Genomic DNA, 19,265 nt, shown 5'->3' with positions numbered 1-19,265 from the left:
GCCACTGCATTCCAGCCTGGGTGACAAAGTGAGACTCTGTCTCAAAAAAAAAAAAAGAAAGAAAGAAAAAAAAGAACTAAAAGAACTGACTGGACATGGGAATGTGGAGAAAGGGTTGTAAGGAATGACTCCTGAGTCCCTGAGCTGCATGACTAGGGAGAGGAGGGGATGGTGGTTAATTCACCATGACAAGGTACGTGGGGATTAGAGACAGATTTGGTGAAGTGGGGGAAGATTCATCCAGTTGATCATTCATTCAACAAACACGCATGGAGGCCTTACTGTGTGGCAAGCAGTGTTATAGACACTGGAGATAAAGTTTTGAACAAAACAGATAAAAACTGTTGCTCTTATGGAACTTTCAGTCTAGTGGGGATTGAGACAGCCAATATCAGATGGTGAAAAGGGATTTGGGGGAGAGAGAGATAGGGAGTGGGAGGGAAGGGGCTTGCAAATTTTGAAAAGGGTGCTCAGAGAAGGCCTCAATGAGAAAGTGACATTTGAGCAAAGACCTGAAGAAGGGGAGGGACCAGCCCATGTAGCTATTTGCGGGGGAAAGAGTCCAGGCAAATGAAACAGCAAGTGCAAAGGCCCTGAGGCAAGAGACAGCATAACAAGTTCAAGAAGCAAAGAACACAGAGTAGCTGGAGCAAGGCAGCAAGGGGGAGAATAACAGGAGAGGGATCCAGGAGGTAACAGGGATACCAGGTTTTGTAGGGCCTTGTAGACCATCCAAAGGGCTTTGACTTTGACTCTGAATGAGACAGGAGCCATTGGAAAGGTTGGGACGAGGATGGGCTGATCAGACTTCTGTTTGATTGATATCGCACTGGCTGCTGAAGGAATTACAGACAGGTGCGGGAACAAGGATGAAATAGAAGCAGGAGAGCAGGCAGGGGGCTATTGCGATTATCTAGGCAATAGATGAGGGTAGCTTGGAGCTGGCTAGTATTGGTTTCAGTTATATTTATATTTTCCAAATATTATCATAAAAATATTCAAACGTAGAGCCAAGTTGAACTTTACAGTGAATACCCAGGATTCTGGTTATATTTGGAAAGAAGAGAGTCCATGGGACTCACTGAGCGAGCAGAGCCTGTGGGATATCTTGGGAGGGTTGCAGCAGGCAGTCAGGTCATTTGACTTGGAACTAGAACTACAGCCCTGGTCTGCAGCATCACACCAGACCCAGATGCCTCAAAAGGATTATATGTTAAGGACAGTCTGCTGGTCTGTTGGCACCTAACCTTTTTTGGGTTATGAATCCAATAAACTATGAGCAGTTTGAACCTTTCTCAGAAAATGCAAAGAAAATTATTTGTAGTTTTAGAAGAATCATGAATACAGACAATAAAAGACATAAAATGTAGTCTATTTCACTCAATTACAAAATATTCAGTGTTGCAGAACCATTGTGGGTAAACATTCCTAATTTTTAGTGAACATATAAAGACCCCGTGCCTCACCAAGACGTCCTCCTGTCTTGCCCCCAGAATTCCTGTTTCTCCATCTGCCTGGTCTATGGGCAATGCACAGAATACGTAATGAAGAGGGGAGCAGTGAGTATTGGGTTACACAATTCCCTGGAACCTGGAACACACCCTTCTGAGTACTGTGAAGATGTGGTCCCCAAGGCTAGAGCTGAAAAGAGGCTTAGGGCCGGGTGAGCCTTCCAGCCAGGGCCTGCCTCCAAGTGATGCTCCCCCAGGGCAGGGGGCATAAGGATGGCACCCAGCCAGGTGGGAGCCTGGGCCCTGCCCAGCCTCAAAGCTTTGAGCTCAGGAAATCCGGAGGCAGGGGAGGGGGACATCGTTGCCACATTCCCCAGCCCTTTAAGACCCCCAAGGCAGGAAGGCTGCCCGGGCCTCACCAGCTTCCCTCACAGGCTCCTTCCTGGGAGGAAGGGGCTGCCTGTGCCCTCGAAGGCGCAAGGGAGGGCAGGAGGGAGGCTCGGAAGGTGTTGCAATCCCCAGCCCCCGGGCCTGTCAGAGGCTGAGCCATTAACGACAGAGCTCGGGGAGAGAAGCTGGACTGCAGCTGGTTTCAGGAACTTCTCTTGACGAGAAGAGAGACCAAGGAGGCCAAGCAGGGGCTGGGCCAGAGGTGCCAACGTGAGTAGGGGATCCCTAGAGAGGGGCTGAGCCTTGGGCTTGATGGAGAGCTGGAATCCTGGGGCCACTCCCCACAGCTCTGCCAAGTGTTCATGTCCGGGGTCCTAGGCCTGGGGCCCGGGATTCGTCCTTTGGAACCCCAGCCCTGGACACTGAGTCTCTTTTCACAGGATGCCCCTACTTTTGGGGGTATTGCACCAGGGAAGTCACTCACAGCCAAGTATCTCCTTGGGGACACTGAGCTGGGCTGGGGACAGGCATAATCATTCTCCCCTCCCCATGCCTCTGTCTCTCAGGACGTGTGTGTCTGTGAGTTCCAGCCGCGCAACCCCTCCCCGTCTGGGTCTCTATTTCACTCTCTGTTTCCATCTTTCCTCCTCAGCTTCTCTCTGGCTTGCTATCTCTCTGAGTTTCTCTGTCTCGCATATTTCCTGCTATCTCTTGAATCTTAAACTCTCGGTAACAGACGCTTCCCGGGCTCCAGGCCTCCGAGTGCCCCCCCCCCGCCCACTCTCTGGGTCGGCGTACATTGGGCCCTTTTTCTCTGTCTCTCGATATCTCTCTGGCCTCAATCGTCCTCTTGGCGAGTCTCTCTGTCGTTTCAGTCTGTGTGGATTTCAGTCACCGCCTCACTCTGTCACTCTTCCTGTTGCTCTCTCTTTTTCTTTATCTGCAGCATATCTGGAAATGCCTCTCCCCTCTGTTTATTCCCAGCCCCCTCCTCCCTCCCCACCCTTCCCACAGAAAGAATCTCGAGGTGAGAGTAGAAACAGCAAGGGAGCGAGGGGTGTGAAGTGGGGAAGAGAGTGTGAGGGGAGAGGGCTGAGCGTGATGAGGGAGAAACAGAAAGAGGGAATGTGAAGGCAGCCAGCCCAGGAGACATCGAGCTGTGCTGGGCCACAGGAGTGAGCACCTGCAGAGCCCAGCAGAGATGGCCGCAGTGACAGGAGGGCCAGGGGGCCCAGGAGTTAGGAGGAGAGGATCCAGAAAGGGGGCTTTGGAACTGCGCAGTGTGGCACAGACAAAAGCAAGGTGGCAGTCCTGGGAGGTGTGACCACACAGGCTGTGAGGGAGGCAGGGGTGAGGGGAAAACTGAACTGTGCTGGATTCTGTGAGCTGCTGACCTGCTATTTATGGCTCGTGAAAATAACCTATGGTTGCTGAGTGCCAACTCCATGCAAGGCACAGGGCTAAATGCCTTTACCAAAATAATCTCATTTCATCCTCACAACAACGCTGAGGAGTGAGTGCTAATGTTATTTCTTTCCCACAGATGGGGAAACTGAGGCTCGGCTCGGAAAGGTGAAGTAACTTGTCCAAGATCACAAAGCTGGTAAGTGGCGGAGCTGGAGATCAAGTCAGGTGACCTGAATCTGAGCTGGGCTCCAAACCTCTCTGCATATCGGCCCCCCAGAGAGTGAGACCATGCTCCAACAGGTCCTAGGCCCACTTAACCAGGCTGGGGGACGTCCAGGGCTGCAGTGGAGGACCAGAGACTGAGGCCAAGCAGGCCAACACCCAGCACCCAGGGGAAGGATGCCGGGGCCTCTTGGGGTTAGGTTGTCTACTCTGGACAGGAGCCAGTGGAGGCGGATAGGGTGGTACTGCACGGGGCATAGGCTGGGCCTGAAGCTGACCCTGGCTAGGGCAACAGGGCTGGGATAGGATCAAAAGCACATGGAGATGAAAACCAGTGTCCCAAAATCTGGGCCTTGGAGGCTAAATCTTCCCCAACCAGTGTTGCGGGGGGATAATCAAACTGGTATGCTATAGTAAGAAGGTTACCAACCACCGATGGGTAGACAGATGCTCGGGATACTTGTACAGGTTTCTCACTGCACAAAACTGAGGAGTAACTGGAGCCGAAATCCAGGCTGTTCCCTAGTTGCCAGGTCCTAGTGTGGTGCTGCATCCATCCAGAGGAAGGGGTGCTTTCTTTCTGATTTGCACAAAGGAGACTTACGGGCTAGCAGTCACTGGGTATTCCGATACTGCAATATATACATGGATAGACTGGGGGTTTGGGTAAGACCCCTGTGAGCAGTAACAACCTTGGGTATCTGGGCAGTTCTTATCCACACCTCTGTCTGGGAGGAAGAGAAAAGGATTCTCCTACCTTTCTCCCTGCTGAGCACGAGGGATCTGCTGGGACACCACCTGCGTGTATGTGTCCAGATATGTACGTGCAAGCTGACCAGCGATTCCCACTGATCTGCCACCAAGAGCACCAACTCGTGCTGGAGGATCAGGTGTTGGCTCCAAGACCCCAATGGGAGCAGGGTGAAGATGAGGCTGGACACCCACCCAAGTGGTAGAAACCTCTGCATACTTCCTAAGACTGGAGCCAAGGCACCCTCCATCCAGGTGCTATGGCCGTGACCTCATGATGCCTGACCCCAGAAGGCCACCAGAGGTCTGTGCCCAAAATTGGGGGCACACTGGACCCTTCGGGTGCCCCACTTGATATTCTCTCAGCCCACATGGCTGAGGCAGCCAGCTTCCTGCAGGCATAACCTGACAGCCCCTTGCCTCAGCTGCTCCATAGAGTTCTCCCTTTCTTCCAGGGAGTGTCCCTGACAACACTGGCATGGCTTCCCCAGGAGAACCTGCCTAGTACTCATGCATGCCCAACCTGGATGTGCCAGGGAATGAACACCCCAAGAGGCATCCCTTGACCAATGGGGGGCAGGAGTCAGTGGGTAAATCTTTCCATCTTCCCTCCCATCCAAGGGATAAATTGACCCTCCAGTGGACAGCTCTGAGAAGTGTTCTACATGGCTCTTTGGAAGGTTCCAGCAGGATAGAGCCCCAGTTGTCCATAGAGGTGACCAACATGATGATGTAACTTTGTGCTGGCTTTCTCTCCTTCCCTGTTTCATTCTCCCCAGTCCCTTATCTGCTGCTAGGATCTTCTCAAAATAAACTACCAGCATGCAATTCCTCATCTCAGGTTCTGCTCTCTAGGGGTAGCCTAGCTTAGATAGCTGGGAAGGCGGAAGAATGCTCTTCCTCACTGCTCCTTTCCCTGCTCTTTCCTGGAAGGCAAGTATAATAACTGTGGCTGTCACTGTCATTTCCTATGTTCCAGGCACTGTGAAAAGCCCTTGACTTGCATCATTTTGTGTCTTCCTCTCAAAGTCCCATGCAGTATAGGCTGCTGTTACTTCCATTTTGCAAAGAAACGAAGGCTCAGAGAAGTCAAGCAACCTAGTCAAAGCTGCACAGTGACAGACAAGGATTAAGATCAGCTCTGACTCCAAAGCCCATGGTCTTAAACAACCCTTCTGCCTACAGGTGAACATCAAGTTGGTGCTATGGCAAGGCTGGGAAACTGCAGCCTGACTTGGGCTGCCCTGATCATCCTGCTGCTCCCCGGAAGTGAGTATGGCCAAGGATGAGGGTGCAGTGGGGAGGGGAAGCTACAAGGAGAGATATTGGGAATTTCCTTGCACTGCCACATGGCTCCTGGGATTCCCAGAGAATCCCACAAGATTCAAGTCTGAGCCACAGATGTGGGGTAGCTGGTCTCCCACCCACAGACTTCCACAGGCAAACCACCACCCAAGAGGAATGGTGAGACGACCCGGGCTGGTCATCCTGGAAAAGGCCAGTGAGGCGCAGATCTTGTCCGCAAATCTCTACCAAGCTGTCAGAAGCAACCCATGGGTCCTATGCAGCCTTGGTGGGCAGCAAAGGGATCAGGATGGAAGCTACAAGGGGACAGGTTTCATCCTGAAATAAAGAAGCCCAGGCAGAGCTTGGTTTCCAACCATGGAAACTCTGTCTTGAGAGGTAGAGAACTTCCCATCCCCAGGGGTATGCAAGCTAAAGCCAGGATTGATAAAGATGCTGTGCAGCAGGGGTTGGCAAACTTTTTCTGACAGTAATGTTTAGGCTTTGCAGGCCACATACTGTCTCTGTTCCTTGTTTGTTTGTTTGTTTGTTTGTTTGTTCGTTTGTGAGACAGGGTCTCCCTCTGTTGCCCAGGCTGGAGTGCAGTGGCACAATCGCAGCTCACTGCAGCCTCAACCTCCTGGGCTCAAGTGATCCTCCCGCCTCAGCCTCCAAGGTAGTGCAGGGCATGCCACCACACCCAGCTAATTTTTTTTTGTTGTTGTATTTTTTTGTAGAGATGTAGTTTTGCCATGTTGCCCAGGCTGGTCTCAAACTCCTGGGTTCCAGCAATCCACCTGCCCTGACCTCCCAAAGTATGGGGATTACAAGCATGACCCGCCACGCCCTGCCTATTGCATGTTTTTTGGTTTTTGTTTTTTTGTTTTTTGAGATGGAGTCTCACTCTCTTGCCCAGGCTGAAGTACAGTAGCGGGATCTCAGCTCACTGCAACCTCCGCCTGCCGGGTTCAAGCGATTCTCCTGCCTCAGCCTCCCGAATAGCTGGGATTACAGGCACCTGCCACCAGGCCCTGCAAATTTTTGTATTTTTACTAGAGATGGGGTTTCACCATGTTGGCCAGGCTGGTCTCAAACTCCTGACGTCAGGTGATCCACTCACCTCGGCCTCCCAAAGTGCTGGGATTACAGGCATGAACCACCGCGCCCAGCCCTGTGGCATGTTTTTATTTGGTTTTTGCTTTGCTTGTTTTTAACTCTTTTAAAATGTAAGAAACATCTTTAGTTGTTAGGCTATACAAAAATAGGCCACTCAAGCCCTGCTGTAGAGGGCAGAGCATCAGGTAGAGTTTTGAAGCAAACAACCTTGTAAAGTTTCTTCCAGCCTGAAATCCTGAGTCTGGGCCGGGCGCGGTGGCTCACGCCTGTAATCCCAGCACTTTGGGAGGCCTAGGCGGGTGGATCACAAGGTCAGGAGATCGAGACCATCCTGGTGAACACAGTGAAACCCTGTATCTACTAAAAATACAAAAAATTAGCCGGGCATGGTGCCGGGTGCCTGTAGTCCTAGCTACTCGGGAGGCTGAGGCAGGACAATGGCGTGAGCCCAGCAGGCGGCGCTTGCAGTAAGCCGAGATCACGCCACTGCACTCCAGCCTGGGCAGCAGAGTGACTCCGTCTCAAAAAAAAAAAAGAAATCCTGAGCCTGTGAAGCAGTAGAAGCCCTTTGTTGAGAATCATGAACTTGCTCTGTGACCCTGGGCAAACTGCTTCTCCTCTTAGGGCCTTCGCATCCCCATCAGTAAAACGGGCCTAAGAACACCTGAGAGAGGACAGAAAGCATTGCGGGCAAAGTGTATGTTGATTTGTTTGTTTATTTATTTATCAAAAAAAATTCATCGGCCGGGCGCAGTGGCTCATGCCTGTCATCCTAGCACTTTGGGAGGCTGAGGCGGGTGGATCACGAGGTCAGGAGATCGAGACCAGCCTGCCAGCATGGTGAAAACCCATCTCTACTAAAAATACAAAAAAAAATTAGCCGGGCATGGTGGTGCGTGCCTGTAGCCCCAGCTTTTCGGGAGGCTGAGGCAGGAGAATCGCTTGAACCTGGGAGGCGGAGGTTGCAGTGAGCCGAGATTGTGCCACAGCACTCCAGCCTGGGTGACAGAGCGAAACTCCTTCTCAAAATAATAATAATAATAAATATTCACCAAGGTCCTACTCTGTACTAGGCACTGGGAATACAGTAATAAGCAAACAGCCAAGGTCTGCTGGCCTCACAGAATTTATAGTCTAGCTGGAGTGATAGATAAGTAAATAATCATAAGACTCTATAATTATGAAGGATAATAAGAGCTTTGAGGAAGTACAGGGACCTTGGCCTCCTCCAGTTCGTTAGTGCCTGGTCTGGTTTCTTCAAGATGCCTAAGCGTTAACCAGGTGAAACAGGGGTGGGAGAGAGAAAGAAGAGTCCCTCCAAAAAGAACAGCATGCCGGGCACAGTGGTTCACATCTGTAGTCCCAGCACTTTGGGAGGCTGAAGCAGGAGGATTGCTTGAGCCCAGGAGCTCAAGATTAGCCTAGGCAACATAGTGAAACCCCATCTCTACCAAAAAAAAAAAAAATCAAAAAATTAGCAAGGTGTGCTGGCATGAACCTGTAGTCCCAGCTACTCAGGAGGCTGAGGTGGGAAGATCACTTGAGCCTAGGAGGTCAAGGGTGCACTGAGCCGTGATCGTGCCACTGCACTCCAGCCTGAGTGACAGAGCAAGAACTTGAAGAAAAAAAAGAAAAGAAAAAGAAAACCAAAACAAAACAACAACAACAAAAAAAAAAAAACAGCAGGGACAAAGATCCAGAGATTAGAAAGATTTTGGAGTTTTCAAAGAATAGCAAGAATGAGCCAGAATAGCTGGAGCTGAGAGACCGGTATAAGCTGGAACTGAGAGGGTCAGGCAGGGGCCAGGCCACAGGAGCTATTGAAGGATTTGAGTGTTTATCCTAATGATGGCAGCAAATACTCACATGCCAGACACTGCTCTAAATGCCTTCCATATGTTATCGCATGTAATCCTTCCAGCAACACTAAGGTAGGGACGATTTTTATCCCCATTTTACAGATGAGAAAACTGAGGCACAGGAAGTCTTAGAAATATACCAGGATCATGTAATTAATAAGCAATAGAACCAGAATTTAAACCTAGGCAGTCTAGTTCCAACATCCACACTCATCCATCACACCACACTGCCTTTCAGAGCAATAATGTGCCATTGAAGTGCTGCGATGGAGATGGGGTAGCAGAATCAGATTTGAATTGTGAAAAGATTGCTGTGGCTATGGGTTCTTATCACTCTAATCACTGCTTGCACCATCCTTGGGGAGGGCACTGGGGAGTTAACAGTCTCCATCTGGTGGTGTGCTGGTGCTGGCTTGCAAAAACTAATTGTGCACATCTCTTCCCAACTCCCCGATCAATGATGTCACATCAATAGGCTGAAATCAGCTACAGTGAGAGCACTTACACCGCGGAAAGGCACACACTACAAACCAGGGTCTGCTTTTCTCTGCCAAGCTGGCTGATAAACGGTTACCAGCACATCACTATCTCTGTGTCACCCCCGTAGCCTCTCGAAGTCTCCGTCCCCATCCTTCCATTTCCAGCCCCCATATCTTGAAGGGTGAGACAGGAAGGTGAGGCCTCTGAGTCTAGGAGTACAAAGGCCTAGATTATAGCCCAGCTCTGCTAGGCAGAGGCGTCGTTCCTGGCCCATTCTCTTCCACCCCAGGTCTGGAGGAGTGCGGGCACATCAGTGTCTCAGCCCCCATCGTCCACCTGGGGGATCCCATCACAGCCTCCTGCATCATCAAGCAGAACTGCAGCCATCTGGACCCGGAGCCACAGATTCTGTGGAGACTGGGAGCAGAGCTTCAGCCCGGGGGCAGGCAGCAGCGTCTGTCTGATGGGACCCAGGAATCTATCATCACCCTGCCCCACCTCAACCACACTCAGGCCTTTCTCTCCTGCTGCCTGAACTGGGGCAACAGCCTGCAGATCCTGGACCAGGTTGAGCTGCGCGCAGGCTGTAAGTCCTTCCAGCCATCCAACTACTCTGCCTCCAACACCCTCCTGCCAATACTAATAAGAATATTACCAGCCGGGCACGTTGGCTCACGCCTGTATTCCCAGCACTTTGGGAGGCCGAGGCAGGCGGATCACCTGAGGTCAGGAGTTCATGATCAGCCTGGCCAGCAAGGCGAAACCCCGCCTCTACTAAAAATACAAAAAAATTAGCCAGGCATAGTGGCGGGTGCCTGTAATCCCAGCTACTCGGGGGGCTGAGGCAGGAGAACTGCTCGAACCCAGGAAGCGGAGGTTGCAATGAGCTGAGATCACACCACTGCACTCCAGCCTGGGCAACAAAAGCGAAACTTGGTCTCAAAAAAAAGAAGAAAAAAAAAAAAGAGTACTACCTATTGAGCTCTTATCTAATAAGCACTTTATGGGCATGATATCAGGTAACAGTAGTACCAGTTGGTACTACTATGTAGCCTCACTTTGCAGATGATGAAACTGAGGTTCAGGGAGGGTAAGTGACTTGCCCTTATCACACATTAATAAGGATGGAGGCAGTGTGGCTCTAAAGCCAGTGTTGTGACCACTACTCTACATAGCCCAAGTCCTCAGCCATCTGAGGGTGTCTCCAGGGAGAACATCCTCTACCAGCTGGGCTTGTCCCCCACCCCAGTTTCAAACTTCCTTTCAAACTGAGCAGGATGGAGTTTGTGCCAAGCTGAGGCATAAGGAAAAAACAAAGACCGAGGTTCTTGTTTAAGAATCAGTAATGGGCCAGGTGCAGTGGCTCACACCTGTAATCCCAGCACTTTGGGAGCCTGAGGTAGGTGGATCATTTGAGGTCAGGAGTTTGAGAACAGCCTGGCCAACATGGGGAAACCCCGTCTCTACTAAAAATACAAAAATTAGCCGAGTGAGCCGAGATCACGCCACTGCACTCCAGCCTGGGCCACAGAGTGAGACTCTGTCTCAAAAAAAAAAAAAAAAAAAAAAAAAGCACCAGTAATGGCCACTGCTAACACTTACATAGCATTTCCTGTAAGTTAGGCACTGTTCTGAGCACTTCATGTAGAGTGAGTCATTTAGCCCTTGTGATAACGCTAGGGGGTGGGATTTTACCATTATCCCCATTTTACAGATGAGGATGCTGAGGCATGGAGCAGTTAAATAACTTCAAGATCACAGGGCTAATGAATGGCAGGACCAGGATGAAAACTCAAACACTACACTGTCACTGACAAAGGGTCTAGAGTTGGGGGCCTTGGAAGTGGGCCACCACTGGGCTGCTGGGAGTCTGTGATGCTTGCCCCGGTGCATGCCTGCAACTTAGCTTCCCCCAGGGCTGCCCTTCCAGAGCCACTCTGCCTGGAGACAGGGGGACAGACAAGGTGACAACAGAGGAACCAAGCCAGGGCAAGGCAACAGGGCCAGCTGGTCCCAGAGGAAGCTTTCTGAGTGGTCCCACCCAAAGCCCTCACACTCTTCCCACCCACATGCAGACCCTCCAGCCATACCCCACAACCTCTCCTGCCTCATGAACCTCACAACCAGCAGCCTCATCTGCCAGTGGGAGCCAGGACCTGAGACCCACCTACCCACCAGCTTCACTCTGAAGAGTTTCAAGTGAGGAGGGGCCCCCACCTTGGTCCCCTCCCTTTGGATTCTGGGGTAGGGCATGGGTAGGATGCTGGGCATGCCTCTGGGAGGGAGAAGGGAGCCTCGCTTTCTTCCTCTGCTTGGCACCCAAGCCTGGACTATTGGCAGGAGCCGGGGCAACTGTCAGACCCAAGGGGACTCCATCCTGGACTGCGTGCCCAAGGACGGGCAGAGCCACTGCTGCATCCCACGCAAACACCTGCTGTTGTACCAGAATATGGGCATCTGGGTGCAGGCAGAGAATGCGCTGGGGACCAGCATGTCCCCACAACTGTGTCTTGATCCCATGGATGTTGGTGGGTGATGCAGGGGAGGGAGGGGATCCCCAAAATGGGCAGACACTGAGAGGAATGGAGAGGGAAACACAGAACTAGCGACAGACAAGAAGACACTGGAAGACCTAGAGACAGAGGCACAGAAGAGGGACAGAGACAAAGAAAGGTGCAGCTGGAGACAGAGAAATGGGGACACAGACCCAGAGACAGGAAGAGACACAGAGGCAAAGAGACACATTCAGTCATGCTTTCAGCGTGTTTCCTAAAGCACCCACTACATGTTAGGCACTGCTCTAGGTACTGGGGATACAAAGCATCAAAAATGCCCTCAGAATGTTAGATTCAAGTGGGGGGGAAAATAAGATAGAATTTCAGATAGCAATAAGCAGAAAGGAGAAATTAAAGGAGGAGAAGGGCATAGAGAGAGAGGGGGGAAGGGGAGCACTGGCTATTTTAATATGCTGGTCAAGAAAGGCCTCACTAAGAGGGTGACAATTGAGCAGATCCTTGAAGGAAATGAGGGAGCAAGCCGCTGGATATCTGGAGGGAAAACATTTCAAGCAGAAGTAACAACCAGTGCAAAGGCCCTGGGGCAAGAGCGGAAACAGAGACCTAGAGAGAAACAAAGACACATAGAGATCGAACCACAGAAACGTGTCATTGGCAACGTGGACAGATGGTGAACCACAGACAGGGAGACAAGAGGGAGCTAAGGCAGAGCCCTCTAGGGTGGGATAGGGAGACCTTCTGACAGCCCCACTCCTTGCAGTGAAACTGGAGCCCCCCATGCTGCGGACCATGGACCCCAGCCCTGAAGCGGCCCCTCCCCAGGCAGGCTGCCTACAGCTGTGCTGGGAGCCATGGCAGCCAGGCCTGCACATAAATCAGAAGTGTGAGCTGCGCCACAAGCCGCAGCGTGGAGAAGCCAGCTGGGCACTGGTGAGGCAGAGGGCAACCTGGAGAGCCTGAGGTGGTGGGGGCAGGGGGCAGGGTAAGTCGGGCTCGAGCTGGCCCTAGAATGGCCCAGCGATCCAAGGCTCAGAGTCCTGTCCACCCCTCACCAGGTGGGCCCCCTCCCCTTGGAGGCCCTTCAGTATGAGCTCTGCGGGCTCCTCCCAGCCACGGCCTACACCCTGCAGATACGCTGCATCCGCTGGCCCCTGCCTGGCCACTGGAGCGACTGGAGCCCCAGCCTGGAGCTGAGAACTACCGAACGGGGTAAGGAGGTGATGAGAGGCTGGGAGCAGCCAACAGTATCCAGTCCAGGCCCCAGGCCCCTCCCCAACTGGCACCCCCTCTTCTTGTTCCATCCACAGCCCCCACTGTCAGACTGGACACATGGTGGCGGCAGAGGCAGCTGGACCCCAGGACAGTGCAGCTGTTCTGGAAGGTGACTCCCTCTGAAGGCCATCCCTCCACCTCGACACCTCCCGCAGTCCAAACAGATCCCTACAAACCGGGGCTTAGGACTCCAACAGGTCTGGGAGGCGTGGACGCATTTATATGTGATTTGCATGCACTTTGCATGTGCCTAGGGAGCTGAGTTAGCTTTTGGACAGACTGTAACGCACGTCACAGTGTGGTTCAGTGAATAGTTAAGAGCCTGCTGTGTCCACCAACTTGTTTCTTCCTGCCCTCCTTCCTAGAACCTAGCACAAGGGAACAGAGGGAAAAGGGGAGGGGGGTGAGAAGCCTGGACCCCAGCCTGGGGAGGCTCCGTTTGTATGATCCATCCACCCCACCTAGAGGCTCTCCTTGACTCAAGATGAGCTGCACATCCCCTTCTCTTTTTCCTCCTGTGCCCCACAGCCAGTGCCCCTGGAGGAAGACAGCGGACGGATCCAAGGTTATGTGGTTTCTTGGAGACCCTCAGGCCAGGCTGGGGCCATCCTGCCCCTCTGCAACACCACAGAGCTCAGCTGCACCTTCCACCTGCCTTCAGAAGCCCAGGAGGTGGCCCTTGTGGCCTATAACTCAGCCGGGACCTCTCGTCCCACTCCGGTGGTCTTCTCAGAAAGCAGAGGTAAAGGGGGCTGGCAGCCAGAAGAGCACAGAGGTCAAGCGCATCAATTCAAAGGCTAGACTGCCTGGGTTAAATCTAGTCCTATTGGCCGGGCGCAGTGGCTCACGCCTGTAATCCCAGCACTTTGGGAGGCCGAGGTGGGCAGATCATCCGAGGTCAGGAGTTCAAGACCAGCCTGGCCTACATGGTGAAACCCCTGTCTCTACTAAAAATACAAAAATTAGCCAGGCATAGTGGCGGGCACCTGTAATCCCAGCTACTCCGGAGGCTGAGGCAGGAGAATTGCTTGAACCTGGGAGGCAGAGGTTGCAGCAAGCTGAGATCACGCCATTACACTCTAGCCTGGGCAACAGAGGGAGACTCCATCTCAAAAAAACAAAAAAAAACAAAAAACGAGTCCTATCACTTGCTAACAGTGTGACCTGAGTAAGTTACCTCCCATCCCCGGCCTCTGTTTACACATCCAGCAGATGGGGATGATAACAGCACCTACTGAGCGGTGCCATGGGGTGTACATGAGTTAAGACAAGTGCCTGGCACAAAGTAACTGCTCTGCATGTGTCTGCTGTTGTTATTATCATTAGCCAGACCAGGTTAAGCTCTCTCTCTCACACACACACACACTCACAGCCCATTCTGCCAAGAAAGCCAAGAGAGAAAGCCCCAGGCTTTTCCACTTGGAACCTGGTCTATGAGTTCATTGCTCATTCTCAGGAAATCAGCTGCCACCACCCACTGCTTTCCCTAAACATTGGTCCTCGCAAGGTGGGACTAATAATCACAATAACAATAATCATAGCTAATATTCCCACTTACTAGCTGTGTGATCTTAGACAAGTTTCTTAACCTCTCTGTGTCTCTCAGTTTTCTCATTAGTAAAATGGGGAAAAGAGTAGTACTTCCTGGGTATGACTATTAGAGGACTCAGTGAATTAAAATGTATCAAGGAGTCCAGTATGGTGGCTCACGCCTGTAATCCCAGCACTTTGGGAGGCTGAGGCGGGCGGATCATCTGAGGTCAGGAGGTCAAGACCAGCCTGGCCAACATAGTGAAACCCCATCTCTACTACAAATACAAAAATTAGCCGGGCATGGTGGCGGTTGCCTGTAATCCCAGCTAGTCGGGAGGCTGCGGCAGGAGAATCACTTGAGCCTGGGAGGTGGAGGTTGCAATGAGCCGAGATGGCGCCACTGCACTCCAGCCTGGGCGACAGAGCAAGTCTCTGCATAAAAAATAAAATAAAGTAAGGTAAAGTAAAGTAAAATAAAATAAAATATATCAAGGACTACGCCTGACACATACCAAGAACAATAGAGTGTTAGCTGTTATCACTAACAAGAACTACTCCATGCCAGGCGCTATGCCAGGCTTGTTTCGTGCATCAAGTCATTTAATCTGCACTAAGACCCTATGAGTTAGGAACTTTTATCATCATTTCTACTTTACAGATGAGGAAACTGAGGCTAAGATGTTGACCTACCAAAGGTCACCCAGCCTGTAAATAGCAAAGCCAGGATTTGAACCCAGGCTTCTGGCTCAAGGGCCTGCATTCTTTTCACCTTCATTCCACCATTTCCCACCCTGTCTCCAGGCCCAGCTCTGACCAGACTCCATGCCATGGCCCGAGACCCTCACAGCCTCTGGGTAGGCTGGGAGCCCCCCAATCCATGGCCTCAGGGCTATGTGATTGAGTGGGGCCTGGGCCCCCCCAGCGCGAGCAATAGCAACAAGACCTGGAGGATGGAACAGAATGGGAGAGCCACGGGGTTTCTGCTGAAGGGTGAGGCTGGCCTGGAAAGTTGGGCAGGGCCAGGGACAAAGGGAGGCAGTGCTTATCTGACAATAGGCATGGGACAACCTGAACTGCCCAAGAGACATGGATTCTCCAGCCTTTCTTGATCCTTCGTTGTTCTCATTTCATATCCTCATAATCAGGAAGTTCTTCCTACAGTCTAACCTGATCCTTTTTCTATAGCCCTGACTCTGCCACCCTTCTAGCTCTCTCTTCCACTTTTCTTCCCTAATTCTCATCAAATGATCTAAAGAAGATATTGTGGAGGTTAACCCTGAATCATGAGGCCAGGTTAGCCCTCACTAGAGGTCTGAGGCTAGCTCCTGATCATTAGCACAGGTTAGGCCCTAACAGAAGTGCCTACCCCATTTTCTCTCTACAGAGAACATCAGGCCCTTTCAGCTCTATGAGATCATCGTGACTCCCTTGTACCAGGACACCATGGGACCCTCCCAGCATGTCTATGCCTACTCTCAAGAAATGGGTTTGTCAACTATCAGGCCCCTTTCCAGAATCCTCTCCTCTCTCTCCCAAGGCTCTGCCTGGTCCCCAGCAATCAGAAGTATAGGGAACATTGCCTTCCTACCATACTTCCAGCCCTGGAGAGGATCTCTCCCAATCCCCTGGCTTACACTGGATCCCTACAGCTGGACAGAAATCAGGTGCTGGGATAGAAATTGAGTAGGGAGTTGGCACAATTCAAGGAGCAAACCTGGCAAAAATCAAACCATTTCCCAGACAAAAATAAGGTGTTATATGTAACAGAAATTGGACAGAGGGGCCGGGTGCAGTGGCTCACACCTGTAATCCTAACACTCTGGGAGGCCAGGGCAGGCAGATCCCCTGAGTTCAAGAGTTTGAGACCAGCCTAGGCAACCTTGTCTCTACAGAAAAATAAATAAATAAATAAATAAACAAACAAACAAACCAAAAATTAGCTGGGTGCAGTGACACATGCCTGTAACCCCAGCTACTTGAGAGGCTGAGGTGGGAGGATCGGAGGGCTTGAGCCCAGGAGGTCGAGGCTGTAGTGAGCCAAGATGGCGCCACTGCACTCCAGCCTGGGTGACAGAGCGAGACCCTGTCTCAAAAACAAAAAGAAATTGGACAGAGGACCTGGCATAAATTCGGAGAGTGAGTGGCAGAAATCAGAGAGTAAATCAGATGAAATCAGGCCTGGTAGAAATCAGAAAGTGAGGCTTTAGAGTCAAGCAGAGCCAGGTTCAAATCCTGGCTCAGACACTTATTAGCAGTAGATGGAATCTGGATTAAATCCCTGGGAAAAATGAGGCTTGGGCATGAGTCCCCTTGGACTCTTTTCTCACCCACCCCACAGTGTCTGGGAAGCCACAAGAAGTCCAACCGGGCTCTTGCTCTGCCCCACTCCCTTCAGCCCCCGCACCTCTCTCTTCCCATAGCTCCCTCCCATGCCCCAGAGCTGCATCTAAAGCACATTGGCAAGACCTGGGCACAGCTGGAGTGGGTGCCTGAGCCCCCTGAGCTGGGGAAGAGCCCCCTTACCCACTACACCATCTTCTGGACCAACGCTCAGAACCAGTCCTTCTGTGAGTCTATCCTCAGTTCCCCCACAGCCCCAGAAGGCCTGGAAGGGGGTGCTCAGCTGCCACGGAGGCAGCTTTACCATCCAGGCCTATGCTGACCGTACACCCCTCCCAGCCGCCATCCTGAATGCCTCCTCCCGTGGCTTTGTCCTCCATGGCCTGGAGCCCGCCAGTCTGTATCACATCCACCTCATGGCTGCCAGCCAGGCTGGGGCCACCAACAGTACAGTCCTCACCCTGATGACCTTGACCCCAGGTAAGGGGAGACGGGGGCTGGGCAGAGATGGCTGTTTGGAGGGTACCCCACCCAAAGGATGCTGATTTTGAGAGTAGCTGGGGACTGACTTTGAATCCCCTGGTCGGAGGGAGGAGACCCAGCCTTCCCAACATGCATTCTAACTTCTTCCGGCCCTGCCCTCACTGCAGAGGGGTCGGAGCTACACATCATCCTGGGCCTGTTCGGCCTCCTGCTGTTGCTCACCTGCCTCTGTGGAACTGCCTGGCTCTGTTGCAGCCCCAAGTGAGTCCCTTTGAGAGACCTGAGATCCTGCTTCCCCCACCCACAGGGAACCTCAGGTCCAGATGGGCCCATCTAAGTCCCTTCCAGCCTTCCCAAACTTTGGGGCCCATGTCTGAGAGTCCCAGCCCCCAGCTTCTTCTCTCTGCACTAAGGGCAGCTGCACCTCTTCAGGTGGGGTGGGTGGGACAAAAAATGGAAAGATCGGAGGGTGTGTCTGACTCAGCCTCCACCTGCCCCCTTCTCCAGCAGGAAGAATCCCCTCTGGCCAAGTGTCCCAGACCCAGCTCACAGCAGCCTGGGCTCCTGGGTGCCCACAATCATGGAGGAGGTGAGAATCCAGGAGGGAGAGGGAAATGAGATGGGGATGTCGGCCCAGGCTCAGTGAAGGGACACCTTCTGAAGCCAAGTACTCAGGCCTTCCTGTCACTTCCGGCAACATCTCGTCCCTTTGGACTGAAGCAGACCCAACTTTGAATCCCACCTCTGTCCATCTCAAAGCCTCAGTCACCTCCCTGTGATATGGAAAAACTGACCATGCTGAGTCTGAACGGTGCATGGCATGTGTCAGGCATGTGTGAGGAACATACTAGTGCTTTGCAAGTGGTACCCTTTGTGTTCCACCAGTAACAACAGTTGAATGTCCCCACAGCTGCCCGGACCCAGACAGGGACAGTGGCTGGGGCAGACATCTGAAATGAGCCGTGCTCTCACCCCACATCCTTGTGTGCAGGATGCCTTCCAGCTGCCCGGCCTTGGCACGCCACCCATCACCAAGCTCACAGTGCTGGAGGAGGATGAAAAGAAGCCGGTGCCCTGGGAGTCCCATAACAGCTCAGAGACCTGTGGCCTCCCCACTCTGGTCCAGACCTATGTGCTCCAGGGGGACCCAAGAGCAGTTTCCACCCAGCCCCAATCCCAGTCTGGCACCAGCGATCAGGTCCTTTATGGGCAGCTGCTGGGCAGCCCCACAAGCCCAGGGCCAGGGCACTATCTCCGCTGTGACTCCACTCAGCCCCTCTTGGCGGGCCTCACCCCCAGCCCCAAGTCCTATGAGAACCTCTGGTTCCAGGCCAGCCCCTTGGGGACCCTGGTAACCCCAGCCCCAAGCCAGGAGGACGACTGTGTCTTTGGGCCACTGCTCAACTTCCCCCTCCTGCAGGGGATCCGGGTCCATGGGATGGAGGCGCTGGGGAGCTTCTAGGGCTTCCTGGGGTTCCCTTCTTGGGCCTGCCTCTTAAAGGCCTGAGCTAGCTGGAGAAGAGGGGAGGGTCCATAAGCCCATGACTAAAAACTACCCCAGCCCAGGCTCTCACCATCTCCAGTCACCAGCATCTCCCTCTCCTCCCAATCTCCATAGGCTGGGCCTCCCAGGCGATCTGCATACTTTAAGGACCAGATCATGCTCCATCCAGCCCCACCCAATGGCCTTTTGTGCTTGTTTCCTATAACTTCAGTATTGTAAACTAGTTTTTGGTTTGCAGTTTTTGTTGTTGTTTATAGACACTCTTGGGTGTACCTGAGTCTCTGTTATTTATTTTTCAGGGCCCAGCAGTCAGGGGGAAACTTCTCAGAGTTGGTCCTTTCTTCCTCCCTCCCTTCCTTCCTCCCTCCCTTCCTTCCCCCCTTCCTTCCTCCCTTCCTTCCTTTCCCTTCCTTCCTTCCCTCCTTCCTTCCCTTGCTTCCTTCTGCTAGCTCTCAGTATCTAGGCCCTATGCAAACGACTCAGCTCAGTTCACCCTCAGAGAGCTGCATTCTAGTGGTGGAGACTTGAAAACTGATCCTTAGGGCACAGTGGCATGGGTTACACGGGGGGAGTGACAGTGCGGTGGGACACGGTGAAGAGACTTTGGAAAAACTAACCCCTGTTGGGGAAATAAAATTAAAGACAAAATCCCCTGCCA

General features: G+C 52.4%; 1 protein-coding gene across 6 annotated transcripts, besides 2 other annotated features; it reads left to right on the top strand.

Moving 5' to 3' along the window:
* CSF3R (colony stimulating factor 3 receptor) lies at positions 1,608-18,879 on the top strand. 6 transcript variants are annotated; one of them, XM_047446753.1, is made up of 18 exons: positions 1,608-2,111; positions 3,385-3,444; positions 4,842-4,935; positions 5,406-5,489; positions 9,249-9,545; positions 11,035-11,158; positions 11,300-11,487; positions 12,236-12,405; positions 12,531-12,684; positions 12,783-12,856; positions 13,276-13,489; positions 15,082-15,270; positions 15,665-15,766; positions 16,701-16,847; positions 16,960-17,100; positions 17,271-17,364; positions 17,611-17,692; positions 18,014-18,879. In XM_047446753.1, the coding sequence occupies exons 4-18, from the start codon at positions 5,426-5,428 to the stop codon at positions 18,563-18,565; spliced, it is 2,592 nt and encodes an 863-aa protein (XP_047302709.1). In that variant the 5' UTR covers positions 1,608-2,111; positions 3,385-3,444; positions 4,842-4,935; positions 5,406-5,425; the 3' UTR covers positions 18,566-18,879. The 6 variants fall into 6 exon arrangements, with proteins under 6 accessions (XP_047302709.1, XP_005270550.1, XP_011539051.1 ...); NM_172313.3 differs by lacking the exon at positions 4,842-4,935 and having other exon boundaries at positions 2,009-2,111; positions 18,095-18,301; positions 18,722-18,879; XM_005270493.1 differs by lacking the exon at positions 4,842-4,935 and having other exon boundaries at positions 17,614-17,692; positions 18,095-18,879.
* Positions 3,321-4,106: an enhancer, noted in NCBI's record as "H3K4me1 hESC enhancer chr1:36946417-36947202 (GRCh37/hg19 assembly coordinates)". NCBI's record gives its function as "activates a minimal SCP1, AML or CMV promoter by ChIP-STARR-seq in primed H9 embryonic stem cells {active_cell/tissue: H9 hESC(primed)}" and the evidence as "EXISTENCE:reporter gene assay evidence [ECO:0000049][PMID:30033119]".
* Positions 17,832-18,694: an enhancer, noted in NCBI's record as "H3K27ac-H3K4me1 hESC enhancer chr1:36931829-36932691 (GRCh37/hg19 assembly coordinates)". NCBI's record gives its function as "activates a minimal SCP1, AML or CMV promoter by ChIP-STARR-seq in naive H9 embryonic stem cells {active_cell/tissue: H9 hESC(naive)}" and the evidence as "EXISTENCE:reporter gene assay evidence [ECO:0000049][PMID:30033119]".

This window comes from Homo sapiens, chromosome 1 (genome assembly GCF_000001405.40).
Source record: "Homo sapiens chromosome 1, GRCh38.p14 Primary Assembly".
Classification (NCBI taxonomy): Eukaryota; Metazoa; Chordata; class Mammalia; order Primates; family Hominidae; genus Homo; species Homo sapiens.
Note: the sequence above shows the minus strand (reverse complement) of the source record. Positions and strands in the feature narration are given on the sequence as shown.